General features: G+C 37.5%; 1 protein-coding gene and 1 pseudogene across 1 annotated transcript in view, besides 1 other annotated feature; both read left to right on the top strand.

Annotated features, from left to right (window-relative positions):
- IPMK (inositol polyphosphate multikinase) overlaps positions 1-22,037 on the top strand; it is a 76,378-nt gene extending 54,341 nt beyond the window's left edge. Inside the window, exons 5-6 of the mRNA NM_152230.5 lie at positions 14,233-14,314; positions 16,856-22,037. Coding sequence (NP_689416.1) covers positions 14,233-14,314; positions 16,856-17,478 — 705 coding nt within the window. The 3' untranslated portion in view covers positions 17,479-22,037. The remainder of the gene's footprint in view (positions 1-14,232; positions 14,315-16,855) is intronic.
- TPT1P10 (TPT1 pseudogene 10) lies at positions 98-1,229 on the top strand (annotated as a pseudogene).
- Positions 2,720-3,220: an enhancer, noted in NCBI's record as "H3K4me1 hESC enhancer chr10:59970095-59970595 (GRCh37/hg19 assembly coordinates)". NCBI's record gives its function as "activates a minimal SCP1, AML or CMV promoter by ChIP-STARR-seq in primed H9 embryonic stem cells {active_cell/tissue: H9 hESC(primed)}" and the evidence as "EXISTENCE:reporter gene assay evidence [ECO:0000049][PMID:30033119]".
- Positions 22,038-23,513: the final 1,476 nt, after the last annotated feature.

The raw sequence follows: 23,513 nt of genomic DNA, 5'->3' as shown, positions 1-23,513 counted from the left end.
CACCACATCCTGCTAATTTTTAGTATTTTTTTTAGTAGATATGGGATTTCACCATGTTAGCCAGGATGGTCTCAATCTCCTGACCTTGTGATCCGCCCGCCTTGGCCTCCCATAGTGTTGGGATTACAGGCGTGAGCCACCGCGCCCAGCCTCTATTTATTCTTTAAATGCTGAGGTATTCCTCTTGGTTCCATTTTAACATCTGCCTTCCTTTTCTATTTCTTCTTAAGCAGGGCTCTCTATTCTCATTTTAGTTACACACATAACTCATGAATGTTTATCAGCAGGCTCTGCTTTTTCTTTGATCTCCTGATATGTACATCTAACAACTTACTGGATACCTTACTTAAATATCTTAAGTGCTTAAAGACATCTTGAACTCAGTACATAAAAAACTGACATAACTTTTTCCATGGTTCCCCTTTCCTGGAGCACTCTAGCTCCACCACCATCGCCCAGAGCTCCCGGCTCCTGCTAAGCTAGCACCACTGTCCTCTGTCTCCCTTCAGCTGCCATCATGATTGTTTACCAGCATCTCATCAGCTATGATGAGATAGGTGTTATTCCACATTTATGAGATTTGGGAGATTGCAGATGGGCTGTGCCTGGTGGTGGAGGGGAATATGGTCAGTAGGACAGAGGGTAACACTGATGACTTGCTCATTGGCGGAAATGCCTCTGCTGAAGGTCCCGAGGGCAAAGGTACCAAAACCACAGTTATCACTGTTGATACTGTCACAGACTATCACTTGCAAGAAACCAGCTTCACAAAAAACACCTACAAGAACTACATCAAAGATTACATGAAAACAATCAAAGGCAAACTTGAAGAACAGAGACCAGAAAAAGTAAAACCTTTTGCGACAGAGGCTGCACATCCTTGCTGATTGCAAAAGCTACTAGTTCTTTACTGGTGAAAACATGAATCCAGATGGCATGGTTGCTCTGTTGGACTATCATGAGGATAGTGATCCCATAAATGATTTTCTTTAAGGGTGGTTCAGAAATGGAAAAGGGTTAACAAATTCGGCAATTACTTTGGATCTATCACCTGTCATCATAACTGGCTGCTGCTTGTCATCCATACAACACCAGGTCTTAAGACAAATGGTACTGATGTCATCTTGAGCTTTTCATTTATTTTGACTATGGATGCATGGAGTGGATGCATTGTTTTTAAGAAAAACGTGTCATGTAGGTTATCTAAAAACAAAATGCATTTAAACTCATTTGATAGAATACCTTTTACTTTAATACATATTTAAACTAAATCCATCTTGTAACGTTCCTGAAGAAGCTGGAGCCTGGTAGTAAGCCACTACTAGAAAGAATAAGACTGTTGTTAAATAACTTTCACGGTGGAAACTACTTCTGGAACTGGAATATAAAAAATAAGAAGCAAAAGTTTTAATTCTGAGTTGCAGTAAAGGGGAGAGACCATGCTCATAGCAATGCCAACATCTGAAGTGGACCTTATACATTTTATCACCTACAATGGAAGTAGTTGACTCTGGAAGAGATTACTAAGAGAATAAAAAGATTCTAATTTAGTTGGGGAAAAAAACCCCACAAAACTGACACACTCATTATCCCTCTTGCAAACCAACAACCACAACAATGAAAACAAATTTTTTTTTTTTTTTTTTTTTTTTGGTGAGATGTCACCCAGGCTGGAGTGCAGTGGCAAGATCATGGCTCCCTGCAGCCTCAACCCCTGGGTTCCGGATCCTCCTGCCTCAGCCTCTTCCGAGTAGCTGGGACTACAGGCATGTGCCACTACACTTGGCTGATTTTTTTTTTTTTTTTTAGTACAGATGAGGTTTCATTGTTGCTACTGTGCACTGTTTCACTGTTGCACTGAGGTTTTAGTACAGATGAGGTTCACGTTGCCCAGGCTGGTCTTGAACTCCTGGGCTCAAGTGATCCTGGGCAATCCCAAGCAGTGCTGGGACTGCAAGCATGAGCCACTGTGCCCAGCCTAAAAACAAATCCCTGTTATTCCCTGTCTCAGTAAATGGAATCACCATGTAACCAGTTTTACACATTAGAGACCGGGTAGTCAGCTGGGTGTGGTGGCTCATGCCTGTAATCCCAGCACTTTGCAAGGCCGAGGTGGGTGGATCACCTGAGGTAAGGAGTTCGAGAGCAGCCTGGCCAACATGACGAAACCCTGTCTCTAATAAAAAATATTAAAATTAGTTGCATATGGTGGCACACGCCTGTAATCCCAGCTACTCGAGAGGCTGAGGCAGGAGAATCACTTGAACCCAGGAAGTGGAGGTTGCAGTGAGCTGAGATTGTACCACTGCACTCCAGCCTGGGTGACAGAGCGAGACTCTGTCTCATAAAAAAAAAAAAAAAAACCGGGTAATCACTGTTACCTGTCAGCCATCCATCAATCCTACTGATCTTGATTCCTAAACTTCTCGAGTCCCATTATCACTATTATCCCTCTCCAGAGTCTAGTCTCTCAAGTTCAGTTTTGTTATTTTATAATTCTTTCTCTAAACATTGTAGAATGTATATCTAATCATGATGTTCCCTATTCAAAAACTCTTCTGTCAGATGGGAGGAAGATGGTGGATGGGAGGCAGGGCTAATGTGCATCTTCCACGTGGATGGACAGAACAGTGTGTGGAGATTCACAATGTGAACTATCATTCCAAAAACCACCACAGGAAAGTACCAGGAAAACCAAACGAATTCACAGATCTTTTGAAAGGATCACTGCAAACTCTGTGAGTTAGGTGAAAAACTGTGAATTCCCAAAGTGTGAGGGGGGAAGACCTGCCTTCGAACACATACCCCCTGAGTGAATCTGAGAATCCAGATCACAGTTGGAGGATTTAACCTTACCTAGAGGTGGAATGGATTTAGGGGGCCACGTAAAATGTAAAAGTAGAAGCAACAGCAGGAACAGCCTCGTAGGTACTCCCAGTCTCCAGCGCAAGCCCAGGGAAGTAATCCCTGACTATATTTCACATGGGATCTCAGGGAAGGCAGCCAGCGGAATTAGGGACTAGTCACAGGGTGAAAGAAGCTTGCAGCTGAATTTTGTGGCAATTTCAAGTGGGCACGAACTTACTTGAGCAGAATGCAGGGGCAAATGGGAAATGCTGCAGATAGGAGCACAGGAGCCATCACCATTGTTGGCAGACAAGGAGGGGTGTAGCCTGAAAGCCATGCTTGCTTTCTCAGTGGGGAAGCTTATGGCCCAGGGCAGGTCTGTGTTTCACATGCAGGCTGCCCAGATCTAAACTTGGGGCTGTTAACATGCACTGTGGGAGCAACACCAGCCTCGCCAACTGCGTGGGAGCTGGGTGAGTCCCTTCGCTACTGGCTATTCCCCACTTCTCTGGCAAACTATACAGCACAGCACAGACAGCAATACGTTCCTCTGGAATATAATCCCATTGGCCTGAGAACCACCCCCCATCCCCCACAGTGGCTGCAGCAAGCCCCACCCAAGGAGAGTCTGAGCTCAGACCTGCCTAACCCTGCCCCCACCTGATGGTTTTTCTCTACCTGCCCTGATAAGACATAAACTCTTGGGAGCTTTATGGCATTGCCCATCATGTGAGAAATCAGAATAATTCCCCCTTGCCAACTTAGGGCAAGCTCAGATCCTACTGCCAATACTGCAAGTGGTGCTCTCTTGTAAGCACTACCTCCTGGCTGGAGGCCAACCAACTCAGGCCATTACAGCAACTCATGACAGAATAACTGCTCCCAGGAAGGAGAAAACAACCGCTAAAGCTACTGCCTCCAACACCCTGACTAACCAGTGGTCCTCAGTCTGTCCATGTAACAACTTCACTGCTAGCATAACCAGCATTCGAGAAAGCCAGCACACTAAACCTACCTACGATGAAGGATTCTCACAGAGTCTACCTCACTCCCCTGCCACCTCCACTAGAGCAGGTGCTGTTATCCATGACTGGGAGACCTGAAGACTGATCGCATCACAGGCAGACATTCCCAGCACATACCGGAGCCTGGAGCCAGGTAGCCTTGCTGAGTAGCTAGACCCAGAAGAACAATAACGATCACTACAGTCTGGCTCTCAGGAAGCCCCATCGCCAGGGGAATAGGGAGAGCACCACATCAAAGGATCACCCTGTGGGACAAAAGAATCTGAACAGCAGGCCTTGAGTTCCAGATCTTTTCACTGGTGGGTAGTTTCTCACAGCAGAGACACAATTGCAGTGCTAGGTACAGCTGGGAAAGTCTGCATATACACTGCAACAGGCGGGCAGCCACTGTGATCATGAAGGACCTTGGAGAAGAGGTCCTTGTTCTCCCCAGGACTCCACTGTAGACATAGCTGGGGCATCCCCTACAGGAATGCAGCATGGAGGCACCTATAGAAAGCCATTCTGGAATAATCCAGGGTAAGTGCAGCCTGACAGGAGGAGCACCCCCCAGATTCAGGCCTGCACAAGAGGCAGAGTCACAATCACTCCCTGTTTGGAATAACAACATTCCTATAGATGAAAAGAGGTGCCTGTCTGATCAGAATAGCTGAAACACTAGTATAGGAGTGAGGCTGTGAGGTAAATAGTTTTCCCGCTGACTTGGTAGGGAAGCTGTGGTAGTTCCCACTCTTCACTCTGATAAATCCTCAGCACATCTAATTGAGAGCCACCCCAGCTACCCTCATCAAGGCTGGGACTTTGGCCCACCATTGGGTATTACATCTACTCACCTGCCTTAGCGACATCTGCTGCCTATGCAGGGATACCCCCTCTATGGGCCTGAAGCCGGAATCATCAACTTAGGAAAAAATTAAATAAATAAGGTGTACACCACGAGAGAACAAGATAAGCTTCAAGAGATCCCTGCCATTCCAACTCTATAGGAGACAGTGAACTCACCCACACACTAATAATATAACTACTATAGCCAGCATTAGGGAAAGCCAGCACACAAAGACTCTCTATAACTAAGGAACTCATACAGAGTCTTTATCCCTACAAGTACCAAGAATCAGTTTAGACTAAAATGAACATTAAAGTCTAATCCTTAAGAGAGAGAGAGAAAAAGTAAATAAAAAACAGTCAAATCAAAAATATATTCAAGAACAATTTGAAGAAGCAGTCTACCCAAACGAGAAGGAATTAGAAAACTAATTCTGGTAATATGACAAAAACAGGGCTCTATAACACCCCGAAAAGATCACAGTAGCTCCCTAGCAATGGATCCAAACCGAGATGAAATCTCTGAATTGCCATATAAAGAATTCAGAAGGCTGATTATTAAGCTACTCAAGGAGATACCAGAGAAAGGTGGAAAGCAACTTAAATTTTAAAAACAGGGCCAGGTGTGGTGGCTCACACCTGTAATCCCAGCACTTTGGGAGGCTGAGGCGGGTGGATCACGAGGTCAGGAGATCGAGACCATCCTGGCTAACATGGTGAAACCCCATGTCTACTAAAAATACAAAAAATTAGCCGGGCGTGGTGGCGGGCGCCTGTAGTCCCAGCTGCTGGGGAGGCTGAGGCAGGAGAATGGCGTGAACCCGGGAGGTGGAGCTTGCAGTGAGCCGAGATCGCGCCACTGCACTCCAGCCTGGGCACCAAAGCAAGACTACATCTAAAAAAAAAGAAAAATGAACAAAGCCTCCCAGAAATTGGGGTTTATGTTAAATGGCCAAACCTAAGAATAATTGGTCTTCCTAAAGAAATCTAAAAGTTTGGAAAACTTATCTGAGGGAATAATTACGGAAAACTTCTCTGGCCTTGCTAGAGATCTAGACATCAATTACAAGAAACGCAAAGAAATCCTAGGAAATTCATTGCAAAAAGATCATCACAATCCTAAATATATATGCACCTAACACTGGAGCTCCTAAATTCATAAAGTAATTACTACTAGACCTAAGAAATGAGATAACACACAATAATAGTGGGGCACTTCAGTACTCCACTGACAGCACTCGATGGGTTATCAAGACAGAAAGTCAACAAAGAAACAATGGACTTAAACTATACCCTAGAACAAATGGACTTTAACATGGATGTGTTGAAAAGAGAACACTTTTACACTGCTGGTGGGAATGTAAACTAATACAACCACTATGGAAAACAGTGTGAACTAAAAGAACTACCATTCGATCTAGCAATCCCACTACTGGGTACCCAAAGGAAAAGAAGTTGTTATATGAAAAAGACACTTGCATATGCATGTTTATAGCAGTACAATTCGCAGTTGCAAAAATATGGAACCTGTCTAAATGCCTGTCAACCAATGAATGGATAAAGAAAATGTGATTGCCTGTAATCCCAGCACTTCGGGAGGCCGAGGCAGGCGGATCACAAGGTCAGGAGATCGAGACCATCCTAGCTAACATGGTGAAACCCCATCTCTACTAAAAATACAAAACATTTAGCCAGGCTTGGTGGTGGGTGCCTGTAGTCCTAGCTACTCAGGAGGCTGAGGCAGGAGAATCGCTTGAACCCAGGAGGCGGAGTTTGCAGTGAGCTGAGATCGTGCCATTGCGCTCCAGGCCTGGGCAACAGAGCAAGACTCCGTCTCAAAACAAGAAAAGAAAATGTGATATATATATATATACATGGTGGACTATTACTCAGCCATAAAAAGGAGTGAAATAGTGGCATTTGCAGCAACTTGAATGGAGTTGGAGACCATTATTCTAAGAGAACTCAAGAATGGAAAACCAAATACTATAGGCTCTCACAAGTGGGAGCTAGGTTTTGAGGATGCAAAAGCATAAGAATGAGATAATGGACTTTGGGGACTTGAGGAAGGGTGGGATGCAGGTGAGGGATAAGACTACACATTCAGTAAAATGTGCACTGCTTGGGTGACAGGTGCACCAAGATCTCAGAAATCACCACTGAAGAACTTATCCATGTAACAAAAAAACCACCTATTCCCCAAAAGCTATTGAAATAAAATAATAATAATAGTAAACTCTTCTTTGGGTTTGCATTACCTTTAGGGTACATGGACAGGATAAGCAAATAGGGTATTGTATGATTTCACTCTGCTGGGATTTATTGTTTCCCTAGACATAAATGGAGGTTTATTTCTTAAAGAGGTTTAGTTTTTTAAAATAGCTTTAGCGAGATGTCATTTACATACCATTCTGTTAATCATTTAAAGTATAGAGTTCACTGGTTTTAATCAATTCATAGACTTGGGCAACTATTACCACATTCAACTTACAGTATTTTTTACCACTTCTGCAAAAACTTCATACACATTAGCAGTCCCTACCAATTTCCTTCCAAACTCCCTGTCCCTAGGGAACCACTAATCTATTTTCTATCTCTATGGATTTGCCCCTTCTGGACGATTCATATAAATCAAATTTACAGTACAATGTGTGGTATTTTGTGACTGGCTTCTTTGATTTAGTTTCGTGTTTTTAAAGTTCACCCATGTTGTCATATAAGTCAGTACTTTGTTTTTTATTGCCAAATAATATTCGATTATATGGATATACCACATTTTGTTTATCCATTCATTCATTGATGGACTTTGGGTTGTTTCTACTTCTGGGCTACTAATAACTGTTATGAACATTTGTATAGAAGTTTCTGTGTAGGTATATGTTTTATTTCTCTCAGGTAGATTCCTAACTGTGCAACTGGTAGGTCCTAAGGTTAAGTTTATGTTTAACTTTTTGAGAAACTGCCAAAGTGTTTTTCCAAAGTGACTTTACCATTTTATTTAGTTATTTAATTTTTTAAAAAATTATTTAAGTAGCTTTTGGGGTACAGTTTTTTGTTGTTGTTACATGGATGAATTATATAGTGGTAAATTCTGAGATTTTAGCGTACTCATCACCTGAGTAGCGTACATTGTACCTAATATGTAGTTTTTTAAATCCCTAGCCACCCTTCCCACTCTTCTCCTTCCAAGTGTCTAAAGTCAATTGTATTACTCTGTATGCCTTTGTTTACTCATAGCTTAGTTCCCACTTGTAAGTGAGAACATATGGTGGCTTCACCGTTCATTTTACATTCCCACCAGCAATTCATGATGGTTCCATTTTCTCCACATTCTTGAAACCTTTGTTCCTTTTTGTTTTTCTGCTATAAGCCATCCTAGTAGGTGTCGAGTAGCATCTCCTTGTGGTTTTGATTTGCCTTTCTCTAATGATTAATGATGTTGAGCATCTTTTCATGTGCAATGTTTTTGACTACATATGTCTTCTTTGGAAAAATGTCTATTCAGACATTTTGTTTTTAATTATTGAGCTGTATATAAATCCATCAAACTTTTGATTTGCAAATTTTTTTCTAATCTGATTTTCTTACTTGATAGTATTTGTCGAAGCCTCCAAATTTTTAATTTTGAAGTCCAATTTACTTTTTTTTGTTACCTAGGCTTTTGGTGTAAAATCTAAGAAACCATTGCCTAACCCAAACTCATCAAGATTTACTCCTATTTTTCTTGTAAGAATGTTATAATTTTATCTCTTGTATTGAGACTTATGATACATTTTAAGTTAATTTTTTGTATGCTTTAAGGAAGGGGTCAAACTTCATTCTTTTGCATATGGATATCCAGTTGTCCCAGCACCATTTGTTGATAGGACTGTTATTCCCCCAGTGAATATTCTTGATACCCTTGTTGGAATTAAATTTTTGACCATAAATGTTTTCCATTTTCATATTGTCTATCCTTATGCCAAGTACTACACTGTTTTGATTAATGTTGCTTTGGAGTAAGTTTTGAATTATGAGTCCTCCAATTTTGTTCTTTTTTAAATTTTATTTTATTTTATTTTGAGACTGGGTCTTTGCTCTGTCATCCAGGCTAGAGTGCAGTAGCGTGATCGTGTCTTACTGCAGCCTCGAACTGCTGGGCTCAAGCAATCCTCCTACTTAAGCCTCCCAAGTAATTGACACTACAAGTGTACACCATCACACCCAACTAATTTTTAAATTATTTTGTGGAGACTGTGTCTCACTTTGTTTCCTAGGCTAGTCTTGAACTCATGGGCTCAAATGATCCTCCCGCCTTGGCCTCCCAAAGTGCTGGGATTGCAGGTGTGAGCCACTGCACCTGGCCTCAGCTTTGCTCTCTTTTTCAAATTTGTTTTGGCTATTCTGGATCCCTTTAGTTTCCACATGAATTTTAGGATCAGCTTGTCAGTTTCTGCAAAGAAGTCGCAAAATGAGCAACTAATATGGTGACGTACGAGGAAAAGCTGGAGCTTGCTTTTGCTTATCATTCTGTCCTCCTACACCTGTTTCTCAGTTTTCTTTCCATTAAAAAAAAATTGGATACTTTTTTGTTACGTATTTACGTGTTTTTAGGTTGAGAATGTTAACTTTTATTACAAATATCTTTGCTACCACACCTAGCTTATTTTTTATTTTTTATAGAGATGGGGTCTTGCCATATTGCCCAGGCTCATCTTAAACTCCTACACTCAAGCAGTCTTCCTGCCTCAGCCTCCCAAAGCACTATTATTAAAGGCATGAGGCACTGTGCCTGGTTGCATTATGTTTTTTTAAAAAACAGTGTGTATACTTTAATTAAAAAATACTTATTGCTAAAGAATACTAATGATCATCTGAGCGTTCAGTGAGTTGTTTCCTTTTGCTAGTAGAGGCTCTTGCCTGTGGCTGCTGATTGATCAGGGTGGTGGCTGCTGAAGGTTTGAGTGCCTGCAGCAATTTCTTAAAATAAGACAGCAATGAAGTTTGCCACATAAATTTACTCTTTTTTAAATGAAAGGTTTCTCTGGAGCATGTGATGCTCTTTGATAGAATTTTACCCACAGTAGAACTTTGAAAATTGGAGTCAGTCCTCTCAGATCCTGCCACTGCTTTATCAAGTAAGTTTATGTAATATTCTAAATTGTTCATTGTCATTTCAACAATGTTTACAACATCTTTACTAGGAGTAGATTCCATCTCAAGAAACCACTTTCTTTGCTCATCCATGAGAAGCCACTCTGAGGCCAGGGGCAGTGGCTTATGCCAGTAATCCCAACACTTTGGGAGGCTGAGGCGGGTGGATCGCTTGAGCTCAGGAGTTTGAGAACAGCCTGGGCAACATGGTGAAACCCCGTCTACAAAAGAATACAAAAATTAGCCAGACATGGTGGCATGCACCTGTAGTCCCAGATACTCAGGAGGCTGAGGTGGGAGGATTGCTTGAGTACAAAAGGTTGAGGCTGCAGTGAGCCGTGATCGTGCTACTGCACTCCAGCCTGGGTGACAGAGCGAGACCCTATCTCAGTCAGCCAATCAATAAAACAAGCAAGCAAGTCACTGTTCATCCATTCACGGTTTATCATGAGATTGCAGCAATTCAGTCACATCTTCAGCCTTCAGTCTTAATTCTAGTTCACTTGCTCTTTCTACCACATCTGCAGTTACCTCCTCCACTGAAGTCTTGAATTGAACTCCTCAAAGTCATCCATGAGGGTTGGAATTAACTTCTTCCAAACTCCTGTTAATGTTGATATTTTGACCTCCTCCCATGAATCTCAAATCTTCTTTATGCCATCTAGAATGGTGAATTCTTTCCAAAAGGTTTTCAATTTACATTGCCCCAGTCCATCAGAGGAATTACTATCAATGGCAGCTGTATGTAGCCTTGCAAAATGTATTTCTTAAATAATAGAACTTAAAAGTTGAAATTACTCCTTGATCCATAGAACTGCAAAAGGAATGTTATTAGCAGGCATGAAAACAATATTAATCTCCTTGTACATCATCAGTAATCTTGTTAGGTGACCAGGTGCACTGTCAATGAGCAGTAATATTTTGGAAGGAATCTTTTTTTCTGAGTAGTAGTTCTCAATGGTGGGCTGAAAATATTCAGTAAACCATGCTATAAACAGATGTGCTGTCATCCAGGCTTTGAGCCCAGGCAGAGTAGATTCAGCACATTTTTTTGTTTGTTTGTTTTGAGACAGGGTCTTGGCCCAGGCTGGAGTCCAGTGGCATAATCATAGCTCACTGCAGCCCCCAACTCCTGGGCTCAAGCAGTCCTCCCACCTCAGCCTCTCAAGTAGCTGCGACTACAGGCATATGCCACCACACCCAACTAATTTTTAAATTTTTTGTAGAAACGGGGTCTCACTATGATGCTCAGGCTGTTCTTGAGCTCCTTGCCTCAAGTTGTCCTCTGGCCTCAAGCAATCCTCCTGCCTCAGCCTCCCAAAGGGCTGGGAGATTCAGCATAATTCTTAAGGGCTCTAGGACAAATGAGTGAGTATTGGCTTCAACTTAAAGTCACCAGCTGCATTTGCCCCTAATAAGAGAGTTAGCCTGTCCTTTGAAGCGTTGAAGCCAGATACTGACTTCTTATCTCTAGCTATGAAAACCCTAGGTGGCATTTTTTTCAATAGAAGGCCGTTTCATCTACATTGAGAATCTGTGGTTTGGGGTAGATACCTTCATCAGTTATCTTCTGGATAAGTTGCTGTAGCTTCTACAACTACTTCACCTTGCATTTTAGGTTAAATGCTTCACCTTGCATTTTAGGTTAAAAACAACGTCTTTCCATAAACTTCTGCTAGGGTCTATGAACCAGCCTTTGCTAGTTTGCACTTTTCTTTCGCAGCTTCCTCATGGTGACTCTCAGCCTTAATAGAATTGAAGAGAGTCTTACCCTGGATTAGGCTTTGACTTGAGGTAATGTTGTGGCTGGTTTGGTCTTCTATCCAGACCACTAACACTTTCTTCATATTAGCAGTAAGGCTGTTTCACTTTCTTATCATTTGTGTGTTTACTGTAGTTAGCACTCTGAATTTCCTTCAAGAGCTTTTTCTTTGCATTCATAGCTTGGCTGTTTGGCACAAGAGGCCTAGTTTTAGGCCTGTCTTTGCTTTCAGGATGCCTTCCTTACTAAGTTAATCACTTTTTAGCTTTTGATTTTAAGTGAGAGACGTGACATTTCCTTTCATTGAACACTTAGAGGCCATTGGAGGGTTATTAATTAATTAATTGGAGGGTTACTAATTATTAATTGGCCTAATTTCAATATTGTGCCTCAGGGGATAGGGAGGCCTGAAGAGAGGAAGAGAGATGGGGGAACAGCTGGTCAGTGGAACAGTCAGGACACACATATTTATCCAATTTGCCATCTTATGTGCGTGTGCTTCGTGACATCCCAAAATAATCACAGGAGTAACATCAAAGATCACTAATCACAGATCACTGTAACAGATACTTAAGTTTGAGAATTTTCAAAAATTACCAAATTGTAATACAGAGAAATGAAATGAGCACATGCTGTTGGAAAAGTGGCACCAATAGATTTGCTCAAGCTGCCACAGACCTTCAATTTGTAAATAATGCAGTATATTTGTAAAGCACAATGAAGTGAAACACAATAAAATGAGGTATACCTGTACAGCTGAGTAGTCTGCCTCCATACAAGATATCATATTATACTTATTTTTTCTCTATATACCCTTCCAGAGATATTTTAAACATGCAAATACTGCATATATGTTTATTACAAAACCTACCTTAAACACTTTGTTTCTTGTTTTTTCCCTCATAAGTGTAAACATGTCCTTTGTTCATCAAATAAATTTCAAACAGTTTTTTTTCTCTATTTTTCTTTTGATTTCTGCGTGGGAAAAACACTGTGAACACATAGAAATGATAAATATTTGTAGTGGTGAATACCCTAAATACCCTCACTTTATCATTACACATTCTATGCCTGTAAAAAAATATCACATGTGCCCCATAAATATGTACAAATATTATCTACCAAAAAGAACCAACTGACATTTCTGAGTTTTAGTTGGAAATGCTGTCCCTAGTTATTATCAGTTACTCAAGGATTCCTGTATGTTTTCGGGGACCGTTTTATCATTTCAATCTTTGATACATTTGGAATTTATCCTGACATAAGATATCAGGTATGAATACAAGTTACTTTTTTCCTGATCACTGTTTAATCAGACTAACACAATTTAATAAATAATCTTTTCCCATTGATTTAAAATCCCATTATCATATACTAAATTCTCACATATGTTTGATTCTAAAATGTGTTTTAATATCTGGTAGGATGGCAAGGTTAGTTCTACCTTATTAATCTTATTTTAACTTTTCTTGGCTCTTATTTATTTATTTATTTTTAAATATGTGAACTTCAGAGTTGGCTTATGGTTAAAAAAAATTATTGAGGCCGGGCGTGGTGGCTTACACCTGTAATCCCAGCACTTTGAGAGGCTGAGGCGGGTGGATCGTTTGACGCCAGGAGTTTGAGACCAGCCTGGCCAACATGGTGAAACCTCACCTCTACTAAAAATACAAAAATTACCTGGCTGTATTGTCACGCACCTGTAATCCCAGGTACTCGGGAGGCTGAGGCTCAAGAATCACTTGAATCCCGGAGGCAGGGGTTGCAGTGAGCTGAGATCACGCCACTGCACTCCAGCCTGGGCAACAGAGAGAGACTCCGTCCCTCCCCCAACCAAAAAAAAGTTGGTATTTTTATTATAATCTCACTTTAGTTGTAGATTAATTTAAGTAAAATTGATATAGTTTATTATGCTGAATCTTTTTTGAGAACATAGGTGTGTGTTTTAGGAATGTTTTAAAGATATCTTCTTTTACATCTTTTACTTATCTAGCTTATTTTCATGTTCTTTGGGGGTTACATTTTATAAATGGGGTCTTTCATTACATTTTCTAATGAGTTATTTGTGTTTAGAAAGCTTATTTTCTGTTTACTAATTTGTATTCAAATGCCGTGTCATATATTTTATTATTTGTATTTGTCTTTAATTTTATTTTCCAGTGTACAACTATTATCTTCAGAGTATTAACTTTATCTCCACCTTTCCAAATTATTATACCTCTAATTTCTTTCTCTCTAATTGCATTTACTAGGAACTCCAGAATATTAGATGATAATAATATAAAAGACATCATGATAAAATATTTTTGTGAAGGCTTCTTGTATTTTAAAAGAAGTGCTTTTTCAGTTCTCTCCTTTAAACTTGAGACTAACTCCTCGTAGGTTGAGGTAGATAGTTTTATCATATTGGAAATATTCATCTATCCTTATATTACAGAGAGTTTTCATCAGTAGTGGATGTTAAATTTGTAAAGTGCTTTTTCAGCATCCATTGATATAACTGCGATTTTTTTTTTTCTTCTCAAATCTATTAGAATGAATTACCTGAGTAGATTTCATCTTTAGCCACCCTTGTGGCTGGGATAACCCCACATGGTCAAGGAGTATTAGCTTTTTAATATTCACTGCTTTTTTTGACAGGTTTATCATGTTCATTCCGATAGCTATGAGACAGAAAACCAGCATTACGGAAGAAGCTTAACAAAAGAAACTATAAAGGATGGTAAGGACTAAAAAACTAATGCTTTTATGATTGAACAGTTAAAAGACTTCTAAAGTTATTTCAGTTTTAGTTGTCATTTGGAAAAGTGATTTGATTCATAATAAACATTTTTTAAATAATAATGAAACTTAGATTTACAGAATTGGATTAACCATAAGCCCTGGTTCATAATATATCAAGAGCATGGGACTATGAATGGCCCTCTGTTACATTTTCATTTATTTCTTATTAATATACTTAAAAAAAAAATGAACAGCTGTGTACCAGCCATCTAACTCAATACTGGAACTAGAGGTTGTGTATAAAATTATTTTGTAAGTAAACGTTATAGATCATAGTATATTAAAACTGCTTGTTACATAAGAGGCTTTAAAATATGTGTTGTAGCATTTAATGTATTTTTATTGAATTTTCCCATGTGTAGTTGAGCTATGTAAGTTTCTAGAGCTACATAATGAATAATTAAGTGGCATTAAACTGATTTAAATAAAATCTGTTAACATACATACATGCTTCTAAAGTATTTACGGCCAAGATACTACAAAAGCAACAATATCCTAGATTCCTGGAAATAACATTATATTACAAGTTTATTCTTAGCTCTACTAAGATATTTAGAGAAGAACTTATGCATAGTGTAAAAAGTTTGTAGAAGAATTCTTATTTTATATATAGAAAGCAAACATCCATAGCATGAGCTTAACAATTAGTGTTTGCTTTGGAGTACTTAATCAACAACAAAATAACATTCAGCTGGGCTATTTAAAAAATATTTTCCCAGGCTAATAATTTAGTCATATCTGAATATATCTTTTAATAGTTTCTGTCCCAAATTGGGGGAACAAGTTATTTGAAAGCAGAAATCAAATTATATATACCTATAAATTCCCAAGTATGATAAAATAGGCATAGTTTTTAAAAAGGCCTAATAATCTGATAGGTTAAAACATTTAAAGGTCTCAATTTTCAATAATATACCTAACGTGGGAAAGTGCTATTCCCAAAAGTGAGCTTAACTTTTTGGAAAAATTGACTTAATCAATATTATTGAGAGCAAATGAAAATTAGTAGAGTTATGGTAGAGTTATGGTTTGGTATTTAGTAATGGTACCATTAAAAAATAATTAAATTTGACTCTAGGTTTTAGTTAGCTCTAAATGAGATTCTAATAAGCAAGTTTTTGTTTTTTGTTTTGTTTTGTTTTTTGTTTTCAAGACAGTCTTGCTGTATCACCCAGGCTGGAGTGCAGTGGCACGATCTCGGCTCACTGCAACCTCTAACCTCCCAGGTTCAGGTGATTCTCGTGCCTCAGCCTCCCAAGTAGCTGGGACTACAGGCATGCGTCACCATGCCTAATTTTTGTATTTTTAGTAGAGACGAGGTTTTACCATGTTGGCCAGGCTGGTCTTGAATTCCTGACTTCAGGTGATCCACCCGCCTCTGCCTCCGAAAGTGCTGGGATTACAGGCGTGAGCCACTGCGCCCAGCCCGAACAAGTAATTTTACTGTAAAATTGCTCAAGATAGCAAATAGAGCAAGTCTTGAATCCTATTTCTTTTTTTTTTTTTTCTTTTCTTTTCTTTTTTTTTTGAGACGGAGTCTCGTTCTGTTGCGCAGGCTGGAGTGCAGTGGGGCGATCTCGGCTCGCTGCAAGCTCCGCCTTCTGGGTTCACGCCGTTCTCCTGCCTCAGCCTCCCGAGTATCTAGGACTACAGGCGTCCGCCACCATGCCCAGCTAATTTTTTGTGTTTTTAGTAGAGACGAGGTTTCACCGTGTTAGCCAAGATGGTCTCGATCTCCTGACCTCGTGATCCGCCCACCTCGGCCTCCCAAAGTGCTGGGATTACAGGCGTGAGCCACCGCACCCGGCCTGGAATCCTATTTTTTATTTATGTGTTTATGTATTTATGTATTTATTTATTTATTTATTTATTTATTTTTGAGACGGAGTCTCGCTCTGTCACCCAGGCTGGCGTGCAGTGGCCAATCTTGGCTCACTGCAAGCTCCACCTCCCGGGTTCACACCATTCTCCTGCCTCAGCGTCCGGAGTAGCTGGGACTACAGGTGCCCGCCACCATCCCCGGCTAATTTTTTGTATTTTTAGTAGAGACGGGGTTTCACTGTGTTAGCCAGGATGGTCTGGATCTCCTGACCTCGTGATCCGCCCGCCTTGGCCTCCCAAAGTGCTGGGATTACAGGCGTGAGCCACCGTGCCCAGCCTGGAATCCTGTTTCTTAAGAGAATATAGTGAGAGAAGTAAACTACCAGTCTACCTGTAATAAATTTCCTTTTGTCTAAATAGGATATTTCATATTATATTAGTGTCATTTAAATGTTTTCTAATAAGAGCATCTTCACCAAAAATCAAGCTGAGGTCAGACTTCTATATCTGACTAGAATTCTTAGAATTCTAGGATTAACTGTTCACTTAATTCTAAGGGATGATGGGGAAAATATTGGAGAATTCTGTGATGAGTTTACTTCCCAAATAATAGTTATTTCATAATTTGATTATAACGCTCATATTTTTCTTTTTATAGGAGTCTCCAGATTTTTTCATAATGGGTACTGCTTAAGAAAAGATGCTGTTGCTGCCAGTATTCAGAAGATTGAGAAAATTCTGCAGTGGTTTGAAAACCAGAAGCAGCTTAATTTTTACGCAAGTTCATTACTCTTTGTTTATGAAGGTTCATCTCAGCCAACCACTACAAAATTGAATGACAGAACTTTGGCAGAAAAGTTTTTGTCCAAAGGACAACTGTCAGACACAGAAGTACTAGAGTACAATAATAACTTTCATGTGTTAAGTTCCACAGCTAATGGAAAAATAGAGTCTTCAGTGGGCAAAAGCTTGTCCAAGATGTATGCGCGTCACAGGAAAATATATACAAAAAAGCATCACAGTCAGACTTCATTGAAAGTTGAAAATCTGGAGCAAGACAATGGGTGGAAAAGCATGTCACAGGAACATTTAAATGGAAATGTACTTTCCCAACTGGAAAAAGTTTTCTACCATCTTCCCACTGGTTGCCAAGAGATTGCTGAAGTAGAAGTGCGAATGATAGATTTTGCTCATGTGTTCCCTAGCAACACAATAGATGAGGGATATGTTTATGGGCTAAAGCATTTAATTTCTGTACTTCGAAGTATTTTAGACAATTGAATCCTCTGTTGCAGTCTTTTTAAGGGGTGGGCCAATCATAATGAAGAGGGGCAGTCAATATCTGCACCTTTAATGCTATGTAAAAAATTTGTATTATGAGTCGACATTTTATTTGTCTTTATACTTTTGGAAGAATGGTTAACTTTTTTATAATCTTACTCAGGAAAACTAACTATTTGTTCATTAGAAAACTATGAAGAATAAAGAAACTTAGGAATGTTAAGCAGGGAATGTGGTGGTACATGGCTTAAACATCTTTTTTGGCTCAAGCAAAATGCAAACCATTATTCAGTCATTAAGAGTTTAGTTAGCTTTCTGTAGCCAATTCATGAAATCTCTGTCCACCCAGCCTTGACAATGAGCCATATCTAAAATATTACATTATTAGAACACCTACCAAAATCTCGAAAGCACAGGTTGATGTCCTTAGTATTGCTATGTATGAAGTTACTAAAACTGGAGAAAATTCTACTTCAGAAATAAGTACTGTTTAGGTTTTATATTAAAAGTTCAGACCAGCATATCAAAGGGTGCTCCTTAGTGAAATGATTTAGAATTGTTGCATTCCAAAAGCAGGTTTTCTCTTTAATTTTTACATCTCTCTCTCAAAATATTATACTTCATGAAAAAGACAATTGATGTGGATGACAACAACAAAGTCTTGAAATTAAGGGCACACTAATTGTCCTTACTGGGGTTAGGGGAAGAGAGATATTATTTTCAAGGAACAAAATATTTTCCTTTACAATCTTTCATTCATGAGAAAATTGGAATATAAATTTATTACATTGTGAAAGTATCATAAACCATATACCTTTGTATCTAAATGCAGCTTCAAAAAAGTAAATAATTGAAGTTTTATTTCTCCTCTAAATAACTTGAATTTTTTTCTTTAAAAATTTATGTATTTATATGTCCCCATTTAGTTAAGTGGTAGTGTAAATGTATGTTGTTAAAAACAGTTTCTCAGAATTATAGTAAGCAATGAAAGACAATATCTAATTAGGTTGTTATCAAAAATACTGTGTGTAAATTAGTCCGTAATATAGGGTTTGGTGCGTATCTATATTCATGCTTCTATTTCACTCTTCCTCAAAACAGTTTTATATTATGTTGACCAGTGAAATTGTAACTTAATTTCATGGGGACAGGGGCAGTGCTACAGTTCCTGGAAAAATTAGATTTGTATTATCTTTGTTTCACACCCACCACCTTAAAAAAAAATCAACTAGTTATTTGTCATTTAAAACATTTAAAACTTTGAGTCTTCAAATACATTTGATGTTAATGCTGCCATTACTTGCACTTCCATTCACTAATAACATTTCTAGGTAGTTATCAGTTTTGTCATATTCCTGGAAAATATTTTGGGGTTGTAAATTCTTTCTCCTCTTTTTCTTCTGGAGTTACAAATTGAATTTTTAAATCCGAGCACCTTTATTGTGGTGTGGAGAAAATTATCACAATTTTATGTTTATTTTACCTTCTCAGCCTTCTCTGAGGGCACTTTGCAAATACCTGAGTCCAAACAGAAGTACCAACTAAATGCTCTATGAACTCTATCCTTAGTAAATCTATTAAACCTGAATAATTTAAAAGATCATGTTCATTTTGTAATAGCAAAATTTGATTTTAATTTTTTATTTAGAATTGGTGTATTTATCATAGGGACTTCCAATTTTTCTTCACTTTTTGAATGGATATTGGCTATAGTTTTATGTTTTAACGGGAATGAATTTCAAGTCATAATAATCAGAATTTTTAGTTTTACTTTTTTCTTTTACAATATGGATTTTGTTGTTATTTGGATAGTGGTTCAATAAATCTTAAGCTCAGATAATTAAACACTATTTTGAATCTTAACAAGATACTGAGGCTTTTTTTGTATGGGATGATATCAACCTATGTACAATGAATTTAATAAACTTAAGTATTGTCAGATTTTTTGCACATTTTAGCTCAATAAAATCTTAATGTTCAAGATTTTTTTATCTGCATTTGGAAATACAATTTTGTAAAATCAATGTCTTACCTTTTTGATACAATAGATCATGTTTTGTTTTTAATAAAGCAAGAAGCCCTTTTATCTGTTGTTTTTCAGGGAAGGGATTAACATTTAATTCTGTTTGTTTACATTTGTTATCATTGTTATCCAATGCTCATTTTATGTTGCTTTATAAGTAGGCTTAGGTATAACAGAATAAGTATCTGTTTATCTAATCTACATGTGACTATCTTAGTCTCTCTCGGTCACTTAATATTATGCTGAAATTTACCACTGTGGGGATGAATGATCGCTATTCACCAAGTATATTTGAACATGTAAATGCTTAAGAAATAAGCATAATGCGGATATAGTTTGGGTTAATAGGATTCTCATAGTTTTTTTTCCCCTATGAAACATAAGTAATGATTTTAGTGTATTTCTTATGGAATACACTCATTTAAAAAGGACTTTAAGAAATTGTGGATGTGAATAATACCTTTCTCTAATAAAAATTTAAATTGTATAATAGTTTTATAATATTTACATTAATTGATATTTTAATATGGATAGACATTGCATAGATTCAAATAAATTAAAATCAATGATAAATGCTAAATATTTTATCTAAATAGTTTTTCAAGAAACAGTTATGGAAATGTGTATATTAAATGGCTCTAATGTGGAGCTTGTGGTATTTCAACTCAGTATTCATTATTAGTTGTGTGTCTGGAAAGATTGTACTTACTTTTCCTCTTTACACTACAGTTTGCTCTTATGGGGCTCTAAACTGTTTAACTGAAGAACCTTCGTCTGTATTTTGATTGAGCATAATTTAGTATTTTATGATTTCCAAGATGATGTTCTTATGTCTATCAAGTCTATGTATCAAATTTATAACATCATTTAAGAAAAAGGAATTTCCACAGATACTTCAGTTGCAATTTTTTGTTTCATGCTACTGAAAATACATTTGTTTCTAGGGGTTGGAATATTATAGAAGATGTAGGATGAAAGAAAACGATAGAACAACGAAAGAATTCTGTTTATGAAATTACAGGAATTGTGTCCACTATGGTAAAGCATTGTCATTTTAGTACATTTTCTCTTAGTAGTTTGGCATTTTATACTTTAAAACTTGTTTTGCTTTAAAAATTGTTTATAATGCTTACCTTCTTTCTCCAGTGCCTTTAGTCTTGATTTGATATGTTTGTACCCTCAGTTACCCTTTCTATTACATGTTTTTGATGTTTTCATAGCCTAGGAAACATCGATTCCTTTTTAATAATTGTCAATCTGATTATTTAAAGAGGTAACAATTATCTGTTAATGCTTTGGAAAAACAAGTAGGGTTGCCTTTGGAGGCCAGGCTTCTTAGTTCATTCAAAAATATTCCTTGGATTTATGCCATGTATTAAGCATTTTTAGCCCCCAGTATTACAACTGTGAACCAAACGGATAAGGCCCTAACCATTTTCAGCATTCTCTTTGGATGGGGTGGGATTGGGGACTTAATTAAAATAGAGATATAGAAAAATAGGCATCTAAATAAGATAATAAGTGTGGGGTTGAAATGAAGCATCTAACAATAGTTGAAGTTAGAAGTAATATTTTACAGTATTGTAACCTCTATTTAAGTTTGGGTATTAGTTACAGATAGCATAAAAAAGCCTTAATTTTTCACTTTCCTTGCTGGCAAAGGTACATTTATTTAGACTGTCCATTTAAAGTAATGTTTAACATAAACATTACTGTGAAAAACATTCCATTACATATTCCCAAGCAAATGAGCTGCATCTTCTTTACTGTATTTTACAATTTAGTACAACAGTTTTAGGCCTCAATCTTAACATCACTGGTATTTTAAATTTGGCAATGAATATGAAATTACTTTTGACTTACAGATTGATTATATTATTACTTTGAAAATGCATTAATTTCTTAGAAAAGTTTGGAGCCTCTATCTTTTTTTGAGTTAATACTTAAATTCTCATTACTTATATTAATAGCCTGTACTAAGTGAAAATATTATTTATGCAAGTAAACAAGTCACTATAGGCTTTTAAGACTTTTCTTTAATTTTAGATTTTGTCATCAAAGTTTAAATTTTTTACCTACTGTCCACTTAAATATAATTTAACAGTTTGTAAAGTGAAATAGTTTTAAGTATGATGTATGATGCACCTGCATATAAATGAAAATGGCGTGCACAAAGACACTTTACTATGGGAACTGTACTGGAAGATTTATGAAAGCATGTGAAATTGCACCTAAAATTGTGTTATTAGTGACTATAAGCAGCAATGCTAAATTTATTGTACTTGATGAATGAATGTATTTAGTCACAGTTACTTTGGTTTAAATGTATAAATGTCTTTAGGGTTTTTTTTTAAATGTGTTTGTAATTTGTACTATTGTGGGGGTATACTTGGACTGCAGGGGTTATTGTCAATGTGTGATTTGTGTTTTTATTTTATAGAATCATCTAATGTGATATACCAATTTTTATAAGTGATATTTACATAATTCTAATAACTGTATATTTGACAACCTATTAAAATGTTTTGCATTGGAACTTTTTTCATTAATTGTAACATGCTAACGTGGTTTAAAAATAACTCATTCATTCAACAGATATTGAATGTTGTGTATCAGAAACTATAGGAATCACTGGGGAATCAAAGATGACAAAGTGCATCAGTGGAAAGATCCATGCTTTCAGACAAATTGGGGAAGGGATTTTTTTTTTAAGTGTACACATTGGAAATGATAAAGTATGTAAACCATTTTCCATGGATATTTATTTTTTCTGTCACATAAACAAATCTTTGGAATCAACCTAGAAGGGAGAAGTGGGCCATAGGAGAAACAAATTGATATGGCTATGAAAATGCAGTAACTTAAGCTTAAGTAGGTAAGGTTTTTTTTTTTTTTTTTTTTTTTTTTTGCATGTATTCGAAATTTCAGAAATTAGTGACCAAGTTATTATTTTCATTATTAGTTAAAAAGGATTCAGTACCTATTATCAAGATATATACTGGCTGGAAGAGAAAAAAAACATGTCAGTGTGGGATAAAATAGTGGAATTATGATTGACTTCTCAATATCCAGCAGGGTTGTGAAGACAGAGAAGTCATTCTATAGCATGCAAGAGGAAGAAGAGAGTGTGGTTTATAACATCATAGTGCTAAAGAAGGTTGTATTGAATTCCACCTTAATGCCTGCTTCTTTGTGAATGCTATGGGGAGGAGCAATACTATGTGATCTAGTAGTTTTTTCCCTCCTGATTAAGATAAGCTGCCTAACTGCTGAAAAGAATAACATGGAACCCCACTGCCACAGTCCCCAAGTTATAGCTAAGTGTAAAGACTAAATAAAAGCTAAAGAGAAAGAATAAAAAGTGAAAATAATTATAAAATAAGTAAAAATAATCACGTGGGGATTTTGTTCAAATGCAGATTCTGATTAAGTAGACTGGACTGGACTCTGATGCTGGTCCATGGACCACACTTTTGACTAACAAGATTTGCAACAAGTTCCTTGGAGGTAGGGTGTGCACTACCACTTGAACAGAGGCCCAACCAGAGCTGTTGGAAAGCCAAGAGAGAGTGCTGGCAACAGAAAAGGAAATGGGCTTAGAATGTGAAGAAAATACAGCCAGAAATGGCTTAATATAACGCTGGCCACTCTTAGTTGGAAGAAAAAGTTCATTGGAAAGTTAATGTCAAGGGCATTAAACCATGCCTCCTGCAACAAGTTTTGGGAGTCCTGTAATGATAAACTTGTTATTTTCTATTATTTGTGCCATTGGCCTTTTTTTATTTCTGTGTAAATAGTTACTACTTTGCCAACCTAAGAAAATAATCTGCGTATGCTTGTTAATTACATTGTAGTTGTCATCTGACAACATTCTAGAGGTGCTTTGGGCGTAAATGACATGGTACAATTGGCTCAAATGCCAAGAAATGTTGAAAACCAAGTCTTTCTAAGAGGAGCTAGGAAGGTCTTTAAAATTATTATTTAATGAAAGTTAACATAAATTGTTAAAGTG

Source organism: Homo sapiens, chromosome 10 (assembly GCF_000001405.40).
Source record: "Homo sapiens chromosome 10, GRCh38.p14 Primary Assembly".
Classification (NCBI taxonomy): Eukaryota; Metazoa; Chordata; class Mammalia; order Primates; family Hominidae; genus Homo; species Homo sapiens.
This window is presented reverse-complemented; position numbering and strand designations above follow the sequence as displayed.